Below are 21,025 nucleotides of genomic sequence, written 5' to 3'. Positions count from 1 at the left end.
TCTTGCCTGACCCAGACTATTATAACACATACCCATCTCTAACTTCTAATACCCTCCTATCTCTGTCATTGTACTATCTATTCTTTGCATTACAGCCAAAGCTATACTATTAAAGCATTCTCTCATAGTGTCACACCTGGTGCAGTAACCATCATTGGTTTCTCATTATTTCTAAAATCAAATAAAAATATATTGAATTTAAGAAGAAATAAGTATACTCATTATGCCTTTGAACTCAGTTTTGTTTCCATTTATATGTATCCCATACAACAGGGAGAAATAAACTTGACACAAACAAATTTATGTAAATCCAGCAGCAGAACTAGCATTGCTAAAAATGTGGATTATGTATATTTTCAAATGACTGTATTCTCACATTTAAAAATTTATAACAGTTTTTCTAAGAGTCCTTTTGGAATTTCCTTTTGGCACTTAAAATGACATTTCTAAACTGTTAGGATAAAACAGTTAAATCCCGGATTTATTTATATGGGATATTTATACTTAAAGCTTTGAGTACTTTGTTGAATTCTGAACTACTCTTTAATATGTTCCTCCACCTTCCCCAAATATCCTAAGCTAATGGGATAAACTGAGAGGGGGGGAAGTATAAGCATAAAGCTACTCTGAAGTTGACTAAAATCACATCACTTATTGTGTTTGACATTAAAAATTGACCTAGGACCTAACACTCCTCAGTTTTCATGGTTCACTAAAAAGGGGTAGTTGCCAATATGCAGTGGTTGACATATACTTGTTTTGGTTTTGAATAACAAAAAAACAGTAATTGAAACTTGTGGTATTATGATATACTCAAGTATTACTTTTTAGATACAGTTAATTTCCCTCTAAAGAAACTTGGTTACCGTTTTATCGTAGGGAAAACACACTTAGTTAATGACCCTTTGAAATGTGATTTTACTTTCACTGTTCTGATTATGTAGTATTAGTGGAAGAATCTTCTGTATCATATGATTCAGACTTCAAAAGTAAGCAAAAGAATTAGAATCTGTCTTTTGGATAAATTTTGAGTTTTTTCATTATGCATTTTCATAATGTTAACAAGCTTAGAATAGCATCAGTTCCTTAAGGAGAGCAAAATTAGCCTACAGTTATTAGCTTTATATCTTTGGCCAAGTCACCTGACTTCTTCAAGCATCAGTTTCATTATTAGTAAAATGACGAATTCTGGATTTGCCGCCTGATGCTTTAGGCGTGAATTCCAGCTCTGCACTAAATATTACAGAATGTCTTGCCTACTTATCTAGGTGGTAGTATAACCAAGCCACATAAGGGGCTGTATAAACTATATAACCAAAACAATACATGACTAGTAGTTTATAAGGATATATTGTATAATAATAACCCTATTATAAATTGCATCCCATTTATAATAGTATACATTATAGTATTGTATACCTTATAATCTACCGAACTGGTAGAATCATATGAAACTGATTAAAATGGCTTAGTAAGAAAGTGGAAAGCATAAATTTCTATGGGCCTTAAAAGTCTGAATCAGCAGCATAGGAAAACTTTTGTGGGAACCTCTTGAAAGTTTTTTTTCCTTTATTGTAATATTAAGTGATATAAAATGTCTTTGAAAACTGACACTTTTTTTTTTTTCCTTTTTTTTTTTTTTTATTGATCATTCTTGGGTGTTTCTCACAGAGGGGGATTTGGCAGGGTCATAGGACAATAGTGGAGGGAAGGTCAGCAGATAAACAAGTGAACAAAGGTCTCTGGTTTTCCTAGGCAGAGGACCCTGCGGCCTTCCGCAGTGTTTGTGTCCCTGGGTACTTGAGATTAGGGAGTGGTGATGACTCTCAACGAGCACGCTGCCTTCAAGCATCTGTTTAACAAAGCACATCTTGCACCACCCTTAATCCATTTAACCCTGAGTGGACACAGCACATGTTTCAGAGAGCACAGGGTTGGGGGTAAGGTCACAGATCAACAGGATCCCAAGGCCGAAGAATTTTTCTTAGTACAGAACAAAATGAAAAGTTTCCCATGTCTACTTCTTTCTACACAGACACGGCAACCATCCGATTTCTCAATCTTTTCCCCACCTTTCCCCCCTTTCTATTCCACAAAACCGCCATTGTCATCATGGCCCGTTCTCAATGAGCTGTTGGGTACACCTCCCAGACGGGGTGGCGGCCGGGCAGAGGGGCTCCTCACTTCCCAGTAGGGGCGGCCGGGCAGAGGCGCCCCTCACCTCCCGGACTGGGTGGCTGTTCGGGCGGGGGGCTGACCCCCCCACCTCCCTCCCGGACGGGGCGGCTGGTCGGGCGGGGGGCTGACCCCCCCACCTCCCTCCCGGACGGGGCGGCTGGCCGGGCGGGGGGCTGACCCCCCCACCTCCCTCCCGGACGGGGCGGCTGGCTGGGCGGGGGGCTGACCCCCCCACCTCCCTCCCGGATGGGGCGGCTGGCCGGGCAGTGGGGCTCCTCACTTCCCAGTAGGGGCGGCCAGGCAGAGGCGCCCCTCACCTCCCAGATGGGGCAGCTGACCGGGCGGGGGGCTGACCCCCCCACCTCCCTCCCGGACGGGGTGGCTGGCCGGGTGGGGGGCTGACACCCCCACCTCCCTCCCGGACGGGGCGGCTGGCTGGGCGGGGGGCTGACCCCCCCACCTCCCTCCCGGACGGGGCGGCTGGCCGTGCAGAGGGGCTCCTCACTTCCCAGTAGGGGCGGCCGGGCAGAGGCGCCCCTCACCTCCCGGACGGGGCGGCTGGCCGGGCGGGGGGCTGACCCCCCCACCTCCCTCTGAGATGGGGCGGCTGGCCGGGAGGGGGGCTGACCCCCCCACCTCCCTCCCGGACGGGGCGGCTGGCTGGGCGGGGGGCTGACCCCCACCTCCCTCCGAGACGGGGCGGCTGGCCGGGAGGGGGGCTGACCCCACCCCCCACCTCCCTCCCAGACGGGGCGGCTGGCCGGGCGGAGACGCTCCTCACTTCCCAGACGGTGTGGTTGCCGGGCGGAGGGGCTCCTCATTTCTCAGATGGGGCGGTTGCCAGGCGGAGGGTCTCCTCACTTCTCAGACGGGGCGGCCGGGCAGAGACGCTCCTCACTTCCTAGATGGGGTCGTGGCCGGGCAGAGGCGCTCCCCACATCTCAGACGATGGGCGGCCGGGCAGAGACGCTCCTCACTTCCTAGATGGGATGGCGGCCGGGAAGAGGCGCTCCTCACTTCCTAGATGGGATGGCGGCTGGGCAGAGACGCTCCTCACTTTCCAGACTGGGCAGCCGGGCAGAGGGGCTCCTCACATCCCAGACGATAGGCGGCCAGGCAGAGACGCTCCTCACTTCCCAGACGGGGTGGCGGCCGGGCAGAGGCTGCAATCTCGGCACTTTGGGAGGCCAAGGCAGGCTGCTGGGAGGTGGAGGTTGTAGCGAGCCGAGATCACGCCACTGCACTCCAGCCTGGGCACCATTGAGCACTGAGTGAACGAGACTCCGTCTGCAATCCCGGCACCTCGGGAGGCCGAGGCTGGCAGATCACTCGCGGTTAGGAGCTGGAGACCAGCCCGGCCAACACAGTGAAACCCCGTCTCCACCAAAAAAATACGAAAACCAGTCAGGCGTGGCGGCGCGCGCCTGCAATCGCAGGCACTCAGCAGGCTGAGGCAGGAGAATCAGGCAGGGAGGTTGCAGTGAGCCGAGATGGCAGCAGTACAGTCCAGCTTCGGCTCGGCATCAGAGGGAGACCGTGGGGAGAGGGGAGAGAGAGGAGAGAGGAGAGAGCGAAAACTGACGCTTTTAAAGAGGGTTGTCTGTTTTTCAAAACTAGGCAGTGTGTATAACATTGATTCAACTTAGTTACATTATGAACTTTGGGGGATACAAAGATAAAGCAGACAGATTCTCCCCATAAAGAGCTTATGTCTGAGTAGGAGAAATAAAAGATGAACATAAAACAGGATTCTTTCATGCCCCCTAACTGGTTCCTTTGCCACCTTTCCCTGTTTGAGTAAGTGGCATCTATGCCTACATGTTGCTTTAGCTGAAGTTAACCTTGATTCCTTCTTCTGTCAAGCTCCTCATACCCAGTCCATCAATAAGTCCCATAAATTGTTCTTAATATAATCTCACATTCGTTGACTTCTCTTCATTTTGTTATTGTCATCTCTATTCTAGGTTACCATCACTCTAGCCAGGATTTCTACAAATGCTCTCTTAGAAGGTCTTCTTGTTTCACTCTTGCTCTCTTCCATTTCATTCTGCATACATAGGGCAGTGTGATTATTTTATTCTTCGAAATATTTCACATATTTGAAAGAAATATAGAAAATAAAGAATGCAACATAATGAACATCTCTGTTCCCACCACCCATATTTAAGTGTTAATCACATTTTGTCATACTTGTTTCAGACCTTTTTAGGAACTAAAATGTTCAGATATAGTTGAAACTTTCTTTGTGTCTTCCACTATTCCATTCCACTCCCTCTCTTACCTCAGAAGTATAACCAGGATCCTCAAGCTGTGTAAATCCTTGCTATTCATGTTTTTATACTTAATTTATAGATACATATCCATAAACAATGTATGGGATTTAAGTTTTTATATAAATTGTATCATACTGATCATATCATTTTGTAACTTTTTTCTCCATCAACGTTGTGTACACGCAGAGCTCTCTATTCATTTAGCTATTGTATATAGTATTCTAGTTTATGAATATTCCACTATCCATTCCTTTACAGGGGGACTAACTTAGATTGTTCCTTTTTTTCTTGACATCTTGTTCTAGGTTCCTTTTTTTTTTTGAGGCAGGCTGAAGCCACCCAGGCTGAACTGCAGTGGTATGATCATGGCTCATTGCCACCTCAATCTCTTGGGCTCAAGTGATCTTCCAGCCTCAACCTCCTGAGTAGCTGGGACTTCAGGCATGTGTCACCATGCCTGGCTAGTTAAAAAATTTTTTTTTGTAGCGATGGAGTCCCACTATGTTACCCAGGCTGGTCTGGAACTCCTGGGCTCAAGTGCTTCTCCTGCCTTGGCCTCCAAAAGTGCTAGGATTACAGGCATGAGCTACTGCACCAGCCTAGGTTGTTTTTGTTTTTGTTTTTTTTTTTTTAGTCTTTTCAGAGAGTCAGCTTTTAGTTTTGTTGCCTTCTCTAATTTTTTTGTTTGTTTGTTTTCTGGTTCCTTGATTTCTAATCTTTATTATGATCCTCCTGTTTTTGTGAGGTTCCCGTTATTTTTAGCTTCTTGAATTGAGCACTTAATTCATTTGTTTGTCTTATTTTTTAATAAATTCATTTAAGGCTACACATTTATCTCTAAGTCCTGATTTAGCTACATACCACAAGCATTGACATGTAGAACTTTCATAGTTCAGCTCTATTTTTTAGTTTCCAAATACTATATAGAAGTTTTTGTTGTTGTTGGTTTTTTTTGTTGTTGTTGTTGTTGTTTTGTTTTGTTTTGTTTTACCGTTTTCCTTTTATTGCCTTCCATTGTGTTGAGTGAATTTTCTTTTTCCTCTTATTTTTCTCTTTCTCAGTTTGGAAACTGTATACTGTGTTTCTGTTCCATTTGTGTTTCCTATAAATTTTATTTAATTTTAATTTTTATTTTATTGAGACATAGTCTCGCTCTGTCACCCAGGCTGTAGTACAGTGGTGCAATTACAGCCTCACTGCAGTCTTGACCTCCCAGGCTCAAGCAGTCCTCCCACCTCAGCCTCTCAAGTAGCTGGGACTATAGGTGCAAGCCACCATGCCCAGCTAATTTATTTTATTTATTATTATTATTATTTATTATTTTTTTTTGAGACGGAGTTTCTCTCTTGTTGCCCAGGCTGGAGTGCAATGGCGCGATCTTGGTTCACTGCACTGTCCGCCTCCTGGGTTCAAGCGATTCTCCTGCCTCAGCCTCCCAAGTAGCTGGGATTATAGGCATGTGCCACCACACCCAGCTAATTTTGTGTTTTAAGTAGATACAGGGATTCACCATGTTGGTCAGGCTGGTCTTGAACTCCTGACCTCAATTTTCCTTATTGTTAAAAAACACAATTTACGGGCTGGGCGCAGTGGCTCACGCCTGTAATCCCAGCACTTTGGGAGGCCGAGGTGGGCGGATCACGAGCTCAGGAGATTGAGACCATGGTGAAACCCCGTCTCTACTAAAAATACGAAAAATTAGCCGGGCGCAGTGGTGGGCGCCTGTAGTCCCAGCTACTTGGGAGGCTGAGGCAGAAGAATGGCGTGAACCTGGGAGGCGGAGCTGTCAGTGAGCCGAGATCGCGCCACTGCACTCCAGCCTGGGCGACAGAGTGAGACTCCGTCTCAAAAAAAACAAAAAAAAACCACCAATTTATGGTTACTACTTTTTTTGTACTCAATGATTAATTACATTTATGAATCAAAATTCCCAAATTTTGTAAGTTGTTTCTTGAATTTTATACCTTTTTTTCTGTGTTCACTTTTATTCTTGCTGAAGTGCCTCTGTAGATACTTTAAAAGTCTGTGGGTAGTAAACTCCCTTAGTTTTTCTTTCATCCTTGGTATTGAGTTTTGTTTTGTTTTTTTTTTCTGGTAGAGGTGGGGTCTTTCTATATTGCCTAGGCTGGTCTCTAACTCCTGGCCTCAAGTGATCCTCCTGCCTTGGCCTCCCAAAGTGCTGACATTGCAGGCTTTTGAAATTTGTTTTATTTACTCTCATTCATTATACTGAATCTATTACATCATTATCTTTGACACTCTTTATAAATGGCTTTATCAAGATATAATTCATATACCATACAGTTCACCCACTTAAGGTGTACAACTCAGTGGCTTTAGTTTATTCACAGAGTTATGCAACATCATGATAATCAATTTTAAAAATGGTTTATTATTCTGAAAAGAAACCCAACACTCCTTAGCCATTATTTCCAGTCTCTCATCTTGCTTCCCTGGTCCTAGGCGGCCACTAATGTACTTTCTATCTCTATAGACCTGACTATTCTGGACATTTCATATAAATTGAATCATGTGGTATGTGGTCCCTTGTGATCAGCTTCTTTCAATTAGCATAATGCTTTCAAAGTTCATTTATGTTGTAGTATGTATCAGTACTTCATTTCTTTTTATTGCAAAATAATATTCCATTGTATGGACATATACTATGTATTTTATATATTTATATATTCATGAGTATACAGACTTTTTAAAAAAACTTTTCTTCTTGTCACTTGTTAACACTAGAATGTACAGACATTTTACTCAATGACATTTTACTCATTTTGGCTACTACGAATGATGCTGCTGTGAACATTCATGTACAAGTTCCTGTACGGATATGTTTCCAGTTCTCCAGAGTATGTATACCCACAAATGGAACTGCTGAGTCATGTGGCAACTCTTTATGTAGCTTTTGAGGAACTGCCAGACTGTTTTCTAAAGTGCCTGCACCATTTACATTCCTCCCTCAGTGTGTAGGGGTTCCAGTTCTTTATGCCCTCACCAACTCTTGTTACTGTCTGCTCTTTTATCAACCTAGTAGGTATAAAGTGGTATCTTATTGTGATTTTAAATTGAATTTCTGTAATGGCTAACAATGTTGAGCATCGTTTCATGTGCTTATTGGCCATCTGTATATCTTCTTTGGAGAAGTATCTATTCAGATCCTTTGTTTTTTGAGGGAGGTATTTGTCTTTTTATTGTTGAGTTATACTGGTTCTTTATGTATTCTGGACGCTAGTCCCTTATCAGATATATGATTTGCAGATATTTTCTCTCATTCTCACTTTCCTTAAATTTTTTTTAAATTGGTACATAATATTTGTACATATTTATGGGGTACATGTGATATTTTGATACATATATACAATGTGTAATGATCAAAACAGGTATTTAAGATATCCATTACCTTAAATATTTATTGTTTCTTTGTGCTGGGAACATTTCAGATCTTCTCTTCTAGCTATTTTGAAATATATGACATATTATTTTTAATCATTGTCACCTTACTGTGCTATCAAGCACTGGGTCTTATTCTTCTATCTAACTGTATGTCTTTACCCAAATAATTCTTTTTTAAACCCCTGCCCCACCCCCAACTAACTTCTCTGCATCCTCTCCATACTCCCTTCCCCGCTCCGCACATACCCTTCCCAGCCTCTGGTAACTATCATTCTACTCTCTACCTCCATGAGATCAATTTTTTTAGTTCTCACATGTGAGTGAGAACATGAGATTTTTTTTTTTTCTTTTTGTCTTTCTGTCCCTGGCTTATTTCACTTAACCTAATGCCAGTTCCATCCTTGTTGCTGCAAATGACCGGATTTTCTTTTTTATGATGGAATAGTATTCCATTGTGTATATACACCACTTTTCTTTATTCATTCATCTGTTGATGGACACTTAGGTTGATTCCGTATCTAGGCTATTGTGAATAGTGCTGTAATAAAAATGGGGATGTGGATATTGCCTAGATATACTGATTTTGTTTCCTTTGGATGAATACCCAGTGGCAGGAATGGTGGAGCATATGGTAATTCTATTTTTAGTTTTTTTTTGAGGAACCTCCATATTGTTTTCCATTGTAGCTATACTAATTTACATTCTGACCAACAATGTCTAAAAGTTCCCTTTTCTTCACATCCTCACCAGCATTTGTTATTTTTTATCTTTTTGATAGTAGTCATATCTTAACTGGGGTAAGTTGATAACTCATTGTGATTTTGATTTGCATTTCCCTGATGTTTAGTTATGTTGAGCATCTTTTCATATATCTTTTGGCTATTTGCATGTCTTCTTTTGAGAAATGTCTATTCAGATCCTTTACCTTCTTTTTAACAGGATTTTTTTTTCTTTGCTGTTGAGTTATTTGAGCTTCTTGTGTATATTGGATACTAGTCCCCCATTGGATGAATAGTTTGCATATAGTTTCTCCCATTCAACAGGTGTCTCATTACTCTGTTGATTGTTTCCTTTGCTGTGCAGAAACTTTTTAGTTTGATGTAATCCCATTTGTCTGTTTTTGTTCCCTGTGCTTTTGAGGTCCTAGCCGTAAAATCTTTGCCTGGATGTCCTAGAGTGTTTTTCCTATGTTTCCCTATAGTAGTTTTATAGTTTTGGGTATTATGTTTAAGTCATTAATCCGTCTTGAGCTGATTTTTCTATGATGAAAGATAGGAGTCTAGTTTTATTCTTGTGCATATGGATATCCAATTTTCCCAGCACCATTTATTGAAGAGGGTGTCCTTTCCCCATTGTGTGTTCTTGGTGCTTTTGTTGAAAATCAGTGGCTATAAATACCTAGATTTCCATGCATCTGTTCTGTTCCACTGGTCCATGTCTTTTTAAATACCAATATCATGTTATTTTGGTTACTGTAGCTTTGTAGTATATTTTGAAGTGAGGTAGTATGATGTTTCCAGCTTTATTATTTTGGTTCAGTATTGCTTTGGCTATTCGGACTCTTGTGGTTTTGTACTAATTTTAGGGTTTCTTTCTTTCTTTTTTTCTTTTTTTGAGACAATGTCTCACTCTGTCACTCAGGCTTGAGTGCAGTGGTGCAGTCTCAGCTCACTGCAACCTTGGCCTCCCGAGTTCAAGTGATTCTTGTGCCTCAGCCTCCCAAGTAGCTGGGATTACAGGTGCACACTACCACACCCAGCTAATTTTTATTTATTTATTTATTTATTTTTGTTTTTTGGTAGAAACAAGAGTTTCACCAGGTAGGCTGGTCTTGAACTCCTGACCTCAAATGATCCACCTGCCTCAGCCTCCCAAAGTGCTAGGGTTACAGGTGTGAGCCACTGTACCTGGCCTAGGATTGCTTTCTCTATTTCTGTGAGGAATGTTATTGGTATTTTGGTAGGAATTACATTGTATTCGTAGATTGCTTTGGGTATTATGGTTATTTTATAATGTTAATTCTTCTGATTTGTGCACAAGGGATGTCTTTCTATTTGTATCCTGTACTAGTCTGTTTTCATGCTGCTGACAAAGACATACCTGACACTGGGTAATTTATAAAGTAAGAGTGGTTTAATGGACTCACAGTTCAACATGCCTGAGGAGGCCTCACAATCATGGCAGAAGACAAACGGCACTTCTTAAATGGCGGTGGCAAGAGAGAATCAGAGAGCCAAACTAAAGGGGTTTTCCCTTATAAAACCATTGGATCTCATGAGAATTTATTCACTGTTACAAGAGCAGTATGGAGGAAACCGCCCCCATGATTCAATTATCTCCCACCAGGTCCCTCCTGTAATATGTGGGAATTATGGGAGCTACAATTCAAGATGAGATTTGGGTGGGGACACAGCCAAACTATATCATATTCTCTTCAATTGCTTTTAATAGTGTACTGTAGTTTTCCTTATAGAGGTCTTTTGCTTCCTTGGTTAAATTTATTTCCAGATATTTTATTTTTTTTATAGCTATTATAAATGGGATTGACTTCTTGATTTCTTCTTTAGCTAGTTCATTATTGGTGTATAGAAACACTACTGATTTTTGTGTTTGTTTTGTATCCTGCAACTTTACTGAATTTGTCTATTAGTTCTAAGGTTTTTTTTTTTTTTTTTTTTTGGTGGAGTCTTTAGGTTTTTCTCTATGTAAGAACATGTCATCTGCAAAGATGGACAGTTTGACTTCCTCATTTCCAGTTTGGAAGCCTTCTGTTTCTCTTGCCTGATTGCTCTGGCTAGGACTTCCAGTGCTATGTTGAATAGGAGTGGTGAAAGTGGGCATCTTTGTCTTGTTCCAATTCTTGAAAGACTTTTAGCTTTTCCTCATTCAGTATGTTAGCTGCAGGTTTGTCATATGTGGCTTTTATTATGTTGAGGTACATTCTTTTGTTGAGAGGTTTTTTGTTTTTTGTTTTTTGAGATGGAGTTTTGCACTTATTGCCCAGGCTGGAGTCCAATGGCACAATCTCAGCTCACCGCAACCTCTGCCTCCCAGATTCAAGTGATTCTCCTGCCTCAGTCTCCTGAGTAGCTGGGATTACAGGCATGCGCCACCACGCCTGGCTAATTTTTGTATTTTTAGTAGAGATGGGGTTTCTCCATGTTGGTCAGGCTGGTCTCGTACTCCCAATCTCAGGTGATCCGCCTGCCTCAGCCTCCCAAAGTGCTGGGATTATAGGCGTGAGCTGCTGCGCCTGGCCTGTTGAGAGTTTTTTTTATCATGACAGAATGTTGAATTTTATCAAATGCCTTTTCTGCATCTATTGAGATGATAGTATGATATTTGTGCTTCATTCTGTTGATGTGATGTATCACACTCATTGGTTTGCACATGTTGAGCCATTCTCATATCTCTGAGATAAATCCCACTTGATCAGGGTGTATTATGATCTAGTGGGACTTTTGATGTGTTGTTCAATTCAGTTTGCTAGTATTTTGTTAAGGATTTTTGTGTCTGTTCATCAGGGATATTGGCCTGTAGTTTTCTTTTTTGTTGTGTCCTTGTCTGGTTTTAGTATTAGGGTAATACTGTTCTCACAGAATGAGTTAGGAACAATTCTTCCCTCTTGAGGTTTTTGGAATAGTTTGAAAAGAATTGATGTTAATTCTTCTTTATAAGTTTGGTAGAATTTAGCAGGAAAGCCATCTGGTCTGCAGCTTTTCTCTTTTGGGAGCCTTTTTATTACTGATTCAATCTTGTTATGTGTTATTGGTCTATTCAGATTTTCTGGTTTTTTTGTTTGTTTGTTTGTTTGTTTTTTTCCTGGTTCAATCAACGTAGGTTGTATATGTCCAGGAATTTATTCATTTCCTTTAGGCTTTTCAGTTTGTTAGTGTATAGTTGTTCTGTTTTAATAGTCTCTGATGATCATTTATATTTCTGTGGTATCAGTTATAATGCCTCCTTTTTTTGTTTCCAATCTTGGTTAGTCTAGCTAGCCATTTATCAGTTTCATTTATCTTTTCTGTTGAGAGTGGGCTGTTGAAGTCCTTGACTACTATTGTGTTGGTGTCTCTCTCTTTAGATTGATAATATTTGCTTTAATCTGGATGCTCTAGTGTTGGGTACATATATATTTAGAATTATTATATCCTCTTTCTGAATTGATCCCTTTATCATTATGTAATGGCCTCCTTTGTCCTTTTTTACTGTTCTTGACTTAAAATCTCTTTGATCTAAGTATAGCTACTCCCCCTCACTTTTGGTTTCCATTTGTGTGGAGTATCTTTTTCCATTTTTTCACTTTTAGTCTGTATGTGTTTTTACAAGTGAAGTGAGGTTCTTGTAGGCAGCATATAGTTGGGCCATACTTTTTTATCCATTAAGCTATTATTTGTCTTTTAAGTGGATAATCTATTTACATTCAAGGTTATTATTATTGATATGTAAGGGCTTATTCCTGTCATTTTATTAGTTGAGTTCTGGTTGTTTTATATATCCTTTGTTCCTTTCTCTCATTGTTTATCATTGTGGTTTAGTGGTTTTCTGTAGTGGTAACATTTGAGTTTTTTCTCTCTCTCTCGTTTGTATGTCTGTTCTACCAGTGAGTTTTATACTTTTATGTGTTTTCACATGATGGTAGATACTGTCTTTTTGCTTCCAGATGTAGAACTTCCTTAAGCATTTTTTGGAGGGCTGGTCTAGCAGTAATGAATTCCTTCAGTTTTTACTTGTCTGAGAAGACTTTATTTCTCCTTCATTTTTGAAGGATAGCTTTTCTGGGAATAATATTCTTGGCTGACAGGTTTTTTTCTTTCAGCACTTTAAATATATCATTGCATTCTCTCCTGGCCTGTAATGATCCTGCTGAGAGATACACTGTTAGTCTAAAGGAAGCTTCCCTTCTATGTAACTTTAGGCCTTTCTCCTGTTTTTAGAATTTTATCTCTTTCTTTGCCTTTTGATAGTTTGAGTATAATGTGCCTTGGTGAAGACCTTTTGGGATTCAATCTATTTGCAGAATTTTGAGCTTCCTGTATCTGTATGTGTATATCTTTTGCAAGATTTGAGAAGTTTTTAGCTACTATGTTGTTAAATAGATTTTCTTTTCCTTTACCCATCCCTTCTCCCTCTACAACACCCAAAATGCAAATATTTGGCCAGTTTATGCTGTCCCAAAGTCAGTTAGGCTTTCTTCATTTTTTTTTTTTTATTCCTCCTCCATTTTATTGTCATTGTTTGTTTTGAGACAGGGTCTCACTCTGTCACCCAGGCTGGAGTGCAGTGGAGTGATCATAGCTTACTGCAGCCTCCACCTCCTGGGAGGCTCAAGGGATCCTCCTGCCTTAGTCTCTTGAGTAGCTGAAGTTCTGAAATTCTTTATTCTGCTAGATCTAGTCTGTATATTTTTTAAATTTTATTTCAATAGTTTTTGGGTCACAGGTGGTTTTTGGTTACATGGATGAGCTATTTAGTGGTGATTTCTGAGGTTTTAGTGCACTCCTCACCCAAGCAGTGTACACTGTACCCAAAATGTAGTCTTTTATTCCCTCAGCCCCACAACCTTACCCCAAAGAGTCCCTAAAGTCTATTATATCATTCTTATGCCTTTGCATCCTCATAGCTTAGCTCCCACTTATAAATGAGAACATACAATGCTTGGTTTTCTGTTCCTAGGTTACTTCACTTAGAATGATGGACTCCAACTCCATCCAGGTTGCTGCGAATGCTATTATTTTGTTCTTTTTTATGACTGAGTAGGATTCACATTTTCTTTATGCACTAGTTGGTTGATGGGCATTTGGGCTGGTTCCATATTTTTGCAGTTGCTAATTGTGCTGTTATAAACATGTGTGTGCATGTCTCTTTTTCATATAATGATTTATTTTCCTTGGGGTAGATATCTAGTGGTGGGATTGCTGGATCGAATGGTAGTCCTGCTTTTAGTTTTTTTTTTTTTTTTTTTTTTTTTGAGACGGAGTCTCGCTCTGTCACCCAGGCTGGAGTGCAGTGGTGCAGTCTCGGCTCACTGCAAGCTCCGCCTCCCAGGTGCACGCCATTCTCCTGCCTCAGCCTCCTGAGTAGCTGGGACTACAGGCGTGTGCCACCATGCCTGGCTAATTTTTGTATTTTTAGTAGAGACAGGGTTTCACCATATTGGCCAGGCTGGGCTCAAACTCCTGACCTCAGGTAATCTACCCTCCTCGAACTCCCAAAGTGCTGGGATTACAGGTGTGAGCCGCCGTGCCCGGCCCTGCTTTTAGTTTTTTAAGGAATCTCCATATTGTTTTCAATAGTGGTTGTACTAATTTACATTCCCACCAGCATTGTGAAAGTGTTCCCTTCTCAACACAGCCATGCCAACATCTATTGTTTTTTGACTTTTTAATTATGGCCATTCTTGCAGGAGTAAAGTGGTATCTCATTATGGTTTTAATTTGCATTTCTCTGATGATTAGTGATGTTAAGCATTTTTTTCATATGTTTGTTGGCTGTTTGTACATCTTATTTGAGAATTGTCTATCCATGTCCTTTGCCCACTTTTTGATGGGACTATTTGTTTTTTTCTTGCTGATTTGTTTGAGTTTCTTGTAGATTCTGGATATTAGTCCTTTGTCAGATACATAATTTGTGAATATTTTCTCCCACTCTGTGGGTTGTCTGTTTACTCTGCTGATTATTTCTTTTGCTCTACGGAAGCTTTTTAGTTTAATTAGGTCCCATTTATTTATTTTTGTCTTTGTTGCATTTGCTTTGGGGGTGTTAGTCATGAATTCTTTGCCTAAGCCAATGTTTAGAAGAGTTTGTCTGATGTTATCTTCTAGAATTTTTATGGTTTCAGGTCTTAGATTTAAGTCTTTGATCGATCTTGAGTCGATTTTTGTATAAGGTGAGAGATGAGGATCCAGTTTCATTCTTCTACATGTGGCTTGCCAATTAGGATGTCCTTTCCCCACTTTATGTTTTTGTTTGTTTTGTCAAAGATCAGTTGACTGTAAGTATTTGGCTTTATTTCTGAGTTCTCTGTTCTGTTCCATTGATCTGTGTGCCTATTTTTATACCAGTACCATGTTGTTTTGGTGACTGTGGCCTAACAGTATAGTTTGAAGTCAGATAATGTAAAGCCTCCAGATTTGTTCTTTTTCCTTAGTCTTGCTTTGGCTATGTGGGCTCTTTTTTGGTTTCATATGAATTTTAGGATTGTTTTTTCTAGTTCTGTGAAGAATTATGGTGGTATCTTGATGGGAATTGCGTTGAATTTGTAGATTGCGTCTGGCAGTATGGTCATTTTCACAATATTGATTCTACCCATCCATGAACATGGGATGTGTTTTCCATTTGTTTGTGTCATCTGTGATTTCTTTCAGCAGTGTTTTGTAGTTTTCCTTGTAGAGGGCCTTCACCTCCTTGGTTAAGTATATTCCTAAGTTTTTGTTTGTTTGTTTGTTTTTGCAGCTGTTGTAAAAGTGGTTGAGTTTTTAAATTTGATTTGATTCTCAGCTTGGTCATTGTTGGTGTGTAGCAGTGCTACTGATGTGTGTACACTGATTTTGTACTTTGATACTTTACCAAATTTATTTATCCAATCTAGGAGCTTTTTGGATGAGTCTTCAGGGTTTTCTTTTTTTTTCTTTTTTTTTTTTTTAAGATGGAGTCTCGCTCTGTCACCCCAGGCTGGAGTGCAGTGGCACGATCTCGGCTCACTGCAAGCTCCACCTCCCAGGTTCACACCATTCTCCTGCCTCAGCCTCCCAAGGAGCTGGGACTACAGGCGCCTGCCACCATGCCTGGCTAATTTTTTTTGTATATTTAGTAGAGACAGGGTTTCACCATGTTAGCCAGGATGGAGTCTTCAGGGTTTTCTAAGGTATACGATCATATCACTGGCAAACAGTGACAGTTTGGGTTCCTCTTTTGCAATATGGATTTTCTTCATTTCTTTCTCTTGTCTGATTGCTCTGGCTGAGTACTATGTTGAATAGAAGTGGTGAAAGTGGGCATCTTTGTCTTGTTCCAGTTCTCAACGGGAATGCTTTCAACTTTTCCCCATTCAACATGATGTTGGCTGTGGATTTGTCATATATGGTTTTTATTACTTCGAGGTAAGTCTCTTCTTTGCCTAGTTTGTTGAGGGTTTTTTTGTTTTTTTTTTTTTGAGATGGAGTCTCGCTCTGTCGCCCAGGCTGGAGTGCAGTGGTGTGATCTCGGCTCACTGCAAGCTCCACCTCCCAGGTTCACGCCATTCTCCTGCCTCAGCCTCCGGAAGAGCTGGGTCTACAGGCACCCGCCACCACGCCCAGCTAATTTTTTGTATTTTCAGTAGAGACAGGGTTTCACCGTGTTGGCCAGGATGGTCTCAATCTCCTGACCTCGTGATCCACCCACCTTGGCCTCCCAAAGTGCTGGGATTATAGGTGTGAGCCACTGCGCCCAGCCCGAGGGTTTTTAATCATAAAGAGATGCTGTTTTTTTTGTTTTTTTTTTTAAAGACAGAGCCTGACTCTCTTTCCCAGACTGGAATGCAGTGGTGCGATCTGGCTCACTGCAGCCTCCACTTTCCAGGTTCAAGCGATTCTCCTGCCTCAGCCTTCTGAGTAGCTGGGATTACAGGCATGCTAATTTTTGTATTTTTAGTAGAGATGGGGTTTCACCATATTGACCAGGCTGGTCTCAAATTCCTGACCTCAGGTGGTCTGCCTGTCTCAGCCTCCCAAAGTGCTGGGATTATAGGCATAAGCCACTCTGCCCAGCAGAGATGCTGGATTTTACCATATGCTTTTTCCATCTCTGTTGAGATGATCATATGGTTTTTGTTTTTAATTCTGTTTCTGTTATGTAGCATGTTTATTGACTTGCATATGTTAAACCATCCCTGCATCCCTAGTTTGAAACCCACTTGATCATGATGTATTATCTTTTTGACATGCTGTTGGATTTGGTTAGCTAGTATTTTATTGAGGATTTTTGCATCTATGTTCATCAGGATATTGGTCTGTAGTTTTCTTTTTTTGTTATGTCCTTTCCTAGTTTTGGTATTAGGGTAATACTGGCCTCATGGAATGATTTAGGGAGGATTTCCTCTTTTTCTGTCTTTTGGAATAATTTTAGTAGGATTGGTAATAATTCTTCTTTGAATGTCTGATAGAATTCAGCTGTGAATCCACCTGGTCCTGGACTTTTTTTTGTTGGCAATTTAAAAAATTGCTGATTCAGTCTCACTGCTTGTTATTGGTCTGTTCAGGGTTTCTATTTCTTCCTGATTTAATCTAGAAGGGTTATATATTTCCAGGAACTTATCTACCTCCTCTAGATTTTGTAGTTTGTGCACATAAAGGTGTTCATAGTAGCCTTGAATGACCTTTTGTATTTCTGTGGTATCAGTTACAATATCTCCAGTTTCTTTTTTTTTTCTTTCTTTCTTTTTTTTTTTTTTTTTTTTTTTTTTTTGAGACAGTCTTGCTGTGTCACCCAGGCTGGAGTGCAGTGGTGTGATCTTGGCTCACTGCAACCTCTGCCTCCCAAGTTCAAGCAATTCTCCTTCCTCAGCCTCCCAAGTGGCTGGGATTACAGGCGCCTGCCACCATGCCTGGCTGATTTTTGTATTTTTAGTAGAGAGAGGGTTTCACCATGTTGTCCAGGCTGGTCACAAACTCCTGACCTCAAGTGATATGCCTGCCTTGGCCTCCCAAAATGCTGGGATTGTGGGCATGAGCCACCGTGAATTGAGCTTATTTGGATCTTCTGTCTTCTTGGTTAATCTCACTAATGGTCTATCAATTTTGTTTATCTTTTCAAAGAACCAGCTTTTTGTTTCATTTATCTTTTGTATTTTTTGTTTTTTTGTTTGTTTCAATTTCATTTAATTCTGCTCTGATCTTTGTTACTTCTTCTCCTGGGTTTGGGTTTAGTTTGTTCTTGTTTCTCTATTTCTTTGTGATGTGACATTAAATTGTCTGTGCTATTTCAGGGTTTTTGATGTAGACATTTAACACTGTGAACTTTCCTCTTAGCACTGCTTTTGCTGTATCCCAGAGGTTTTGATAAGTTGTGTCACTATTATTCATTTCAAAGAATTTTTAAATTTACATATTGATTTCATTGTTAACCCAAAAATTATACAAGAGCAGATTATTTAATTTCCATGTATTTGTATAATTTTGAGAGTTCCTTTTATAGTTGATTTCCAGCTTTATTCCACTGTGGTCTGAGAAGATACTTGATAGGATTTTGATTTTCTTAAATTTATTGAGACTTATTTTGTGGCCCATCATATCACCTATCTTGGAGACTGTTCCATGTGCTGATGAGGAGAATGTATATTCTGCAGTTGTTGGGAAGAATGTTGTGTAAACACCTGTTAAGTTCATTTGTTCTAGGATATAGTTTAAGTTTGTTGTTTCTTTGTTGACTTTTTGTCTTGATCTTTCTAGTGCTGTCAGTGGAGTATTGAAGTCCCACACTATTATTGTGTTGTTGCCAGTCTCATTTCTTAGATCTAATAGTAATTGTTTTATAAATCTGGGAGCTCCAGTGTTAGTTGCATATAAATTTAGGATTATAGTATCCTTATGTTGGGCTAATCCTTTTATCATTGTATAACATCCTTCTTTGTCTTTTTTACTGTTGTTGCTTTAAAGTCTGTTTTGTCTGATATAAGAATAACTACTGCTCGCTTTTGGTTTCCATTTATATGGAATGTCTTTTTCCACCCCTTTACCTTAAATTTTTATGAGTCCTTATATGTTAGGTGAGTCTCTTGATGACAGCAGATACTTGGTGGTTTTTTATCCATTCTGTCATTCTGTATCTTTTAAGTGGAACATTTAGGCCATTTACATTCAACGTTAATATTGAAATGTTAGGTACTGTTCTATTCATCATGTTAGTTGTTACTTAGATACTTTGTTTTTTTTTCATTCTGTTGTTGTTTTTTAGGCCCTGTGAGATTTATGCTTTCAGGAGGTTCTATATAGGTGCATTTCAGAGCTTTTGTTTCAAGATTCAGAACTTCTTTCAGAACTTCTTTGAGACCTCAGGCTCCTGGGATAATGTTCCAGAGGGTAGTTAACTGCATCTGCTGCATAGAAGAGTTCCCAAAGGGAGTGGAGAGTAGTGGGCAACAATGAGCCTCACCCAGCTCTTTCACAGTTGGCGACGCTGGTCTCACTCCCACAGTGCTTCGCTTACTGGATTTAGTTCCAGGCAGTCTGCGCACGGAACTCAGACCTGCCCAAGGCCATAACCATGCCTTTCTCCATATGCCCATAAGGCCGGACGCCCAGCTCCTCTGCTCATGTCTGTAGCACACTTTACACTCACCCTGTGGGTTCTGTTCAGGAGAGCTCATCCCTACTCAAGATTATATCGCAAAATTCATCTGGGAGCTTCTTTCACCCTATGACCCCTCCCTGAACTCATTGACTGCTTCTTCGAGGGCCCCTATGAGATGCAGTCAGGAATGGCTTGCCTCTGTTCATGCTGGAGACTGGGAATGCCTACAAGGCACTTCATGCTGCTGCGTCTACTTTTGTATTTCACATAGACTAAATCCATTCCAGCTCTCGGTAGGGTTAAGGCTTTCTCCCATGGTCTGGATTTTCAGACTTGCAGGTGGGGATGTGTGCTCCGAGACAGGCTCATTCCCCTGCTTACACTCTGGGAACTTAGTTTTTCACCTGTCTCATGCAGTAGGCTCCAGCCTGCTGCTTCTTTCAGAGGGTTTGTGGATTCCTTCCATCTTCCTGTGGTGGTTCTTGGAAAAAAGAAAATTCACAGTGTGACTCTCTAGCCACTATTCTTTCCTTCCAAGTGGGAGAGGCATGCTAACACTGACTCTTATCTGTCATCTTGGAAAGTAAATAAATAAAAGATCTAATTCAAGCTTGTCTAACCTGTGATCCATGGGCCTTATGCAGCCTAGGACAGTTTGAATGTGGTCTAACACAAATTCGTAAACTTCTTTTCTTTTTTTTTTTTTTTTTTTTGTTTCTTTTAAGACAGAGTGAGACTCTGTTGCCCAGACTGGAGTGCAGTGGAGCGATCTTGGCGCACCGCAACCTCTGCCTCCCGGGTTCAAGTGATTCTCCTGCCTCAGCCTCCCAAGTAGCTGAGATTATAGGCATGCGCAACCATGCCTAGTTAATTTTTGTACTTTTAGTAGAGACATGGTTTCACCATGTTGTCCAGGCTAGTCTCAAACTCCTGACCTCAGGTGATCCACCCACCTCAGTCTCCCAAAGTGCTGGGATTACAGGCATGAGCCACCGCGCCCAGCTGTAAACTTTCTTAAAACATGATTTTTTTTTTTTTTTTTTTTTTTAGCTCATCAGCTGTCATTAGTGTTACTGTATTTTATGTGTGGCCCAAGACAATTCTTCCAGTGTGGCTTAGGGAAGCCAAAAGATTGGACACCCCGATCTAGTCTGTTTCTGAAGCTCTCAATTGTATTTTTTATTTCATTCATAGAACTCTTCAGATGCAGGATTTCTGTTTGATTTTTTAAAATGATATCTCTTTGTTAAATTTCTCATTCAGATCATGAATTGTTTTTCTTATGTCCTTGTGTTTGTCTGTGTTCTCTTGGATCTCACTGAGCTTCTTTAATATCAGTAGTTTGAATTATTTTTCAGGTATTTCATGTTTTCTTTTATTTTTTATATTTTATTTTTTCAGACAGGGTCCCAGGCTGGAGTGCAGTGGCACAGTCACAGCTCACTGCAGCCTTCCTGAGCTCAAGCAATTCTTCCACCTCCGCCTCCCAAGTAGCTGGGACGACAGGCATCTGCCACCAAACCCAGCTATTTTTGTGTTTTTTGTAAAGGCAAGGTTTTGCCGTGTTGCTAAGGCTGGCCCCAAACTCCTGGGTTCAGGCGATCCTCCTCCCTAATAATTTTTTGTAATTTTTGTGGAGAGGAGGTTTCGCCACGTTGCCCAGGCTGGTCTCGAACTCCAAGGTTCAGGTGATGCACACACCTTAGCCTCCCAAAATGCTAGGATTACAGGGGTGAGCCACAATGCCTGTCCTATAGATTTCTTTTTCACTGGAATCTTTTGCTGGAGAATTATCATAGTTGTTTTGGAAGTGTCATGTTTCCTTGCTTTTTCATGTTTCTTATGTCTTTAAGTTGATACCTGCACATTTGGTGAAACAGTTACTTCTTTCAGATTTTTAG

At 40.7% G+C, this 21,025-nt stretch overlaps 1 protein-coding gene across 5 annotated transcripts in view; it reads left to right on the top strand.

The window, feature by feature from the left end:
* NSL1 (NSL1 component of MIS12 kinetochore complex) overlaps positions 1–21,025 on the top strand; it is a 65,625-nt gene that overhangs the window by 9,634 nt on the left and 34,966 nt on the right. The window contains exon 5 of one of the 5 annotated variants that reach the window (NM_001042549.2): positions 15,871–15,955. The exons of the other annotated variants lie outside the window; for them this stretch is intronic. Coding sequence (NP_001036014.1) covers positions 15,871–15,955 — 85 coding nt within the window. The remainder of the gene's footprint in view (positions 1–15,870; positions 15,956–21,025) is intronic. 5 annotated transcript variants of the gene reach the window in all.

The sequence above is a fragment of the Homo sapiens genome, chromosome 1 (assembly GCF_000001405.40).
Source record: "Homo sapiens chromosome 1, GRCh38.p14 Primary Assembly".
Lineage (NCBI taxonomy): Eukaryota > Metazoa > Chordata > Mammalia > Primates > Hominidae > Homo > Homo sapiens.
Note: the sequence above shows the minus strand (reverse complement) of the source record. Positions and strands in the feature narration are given on the sequence as shown.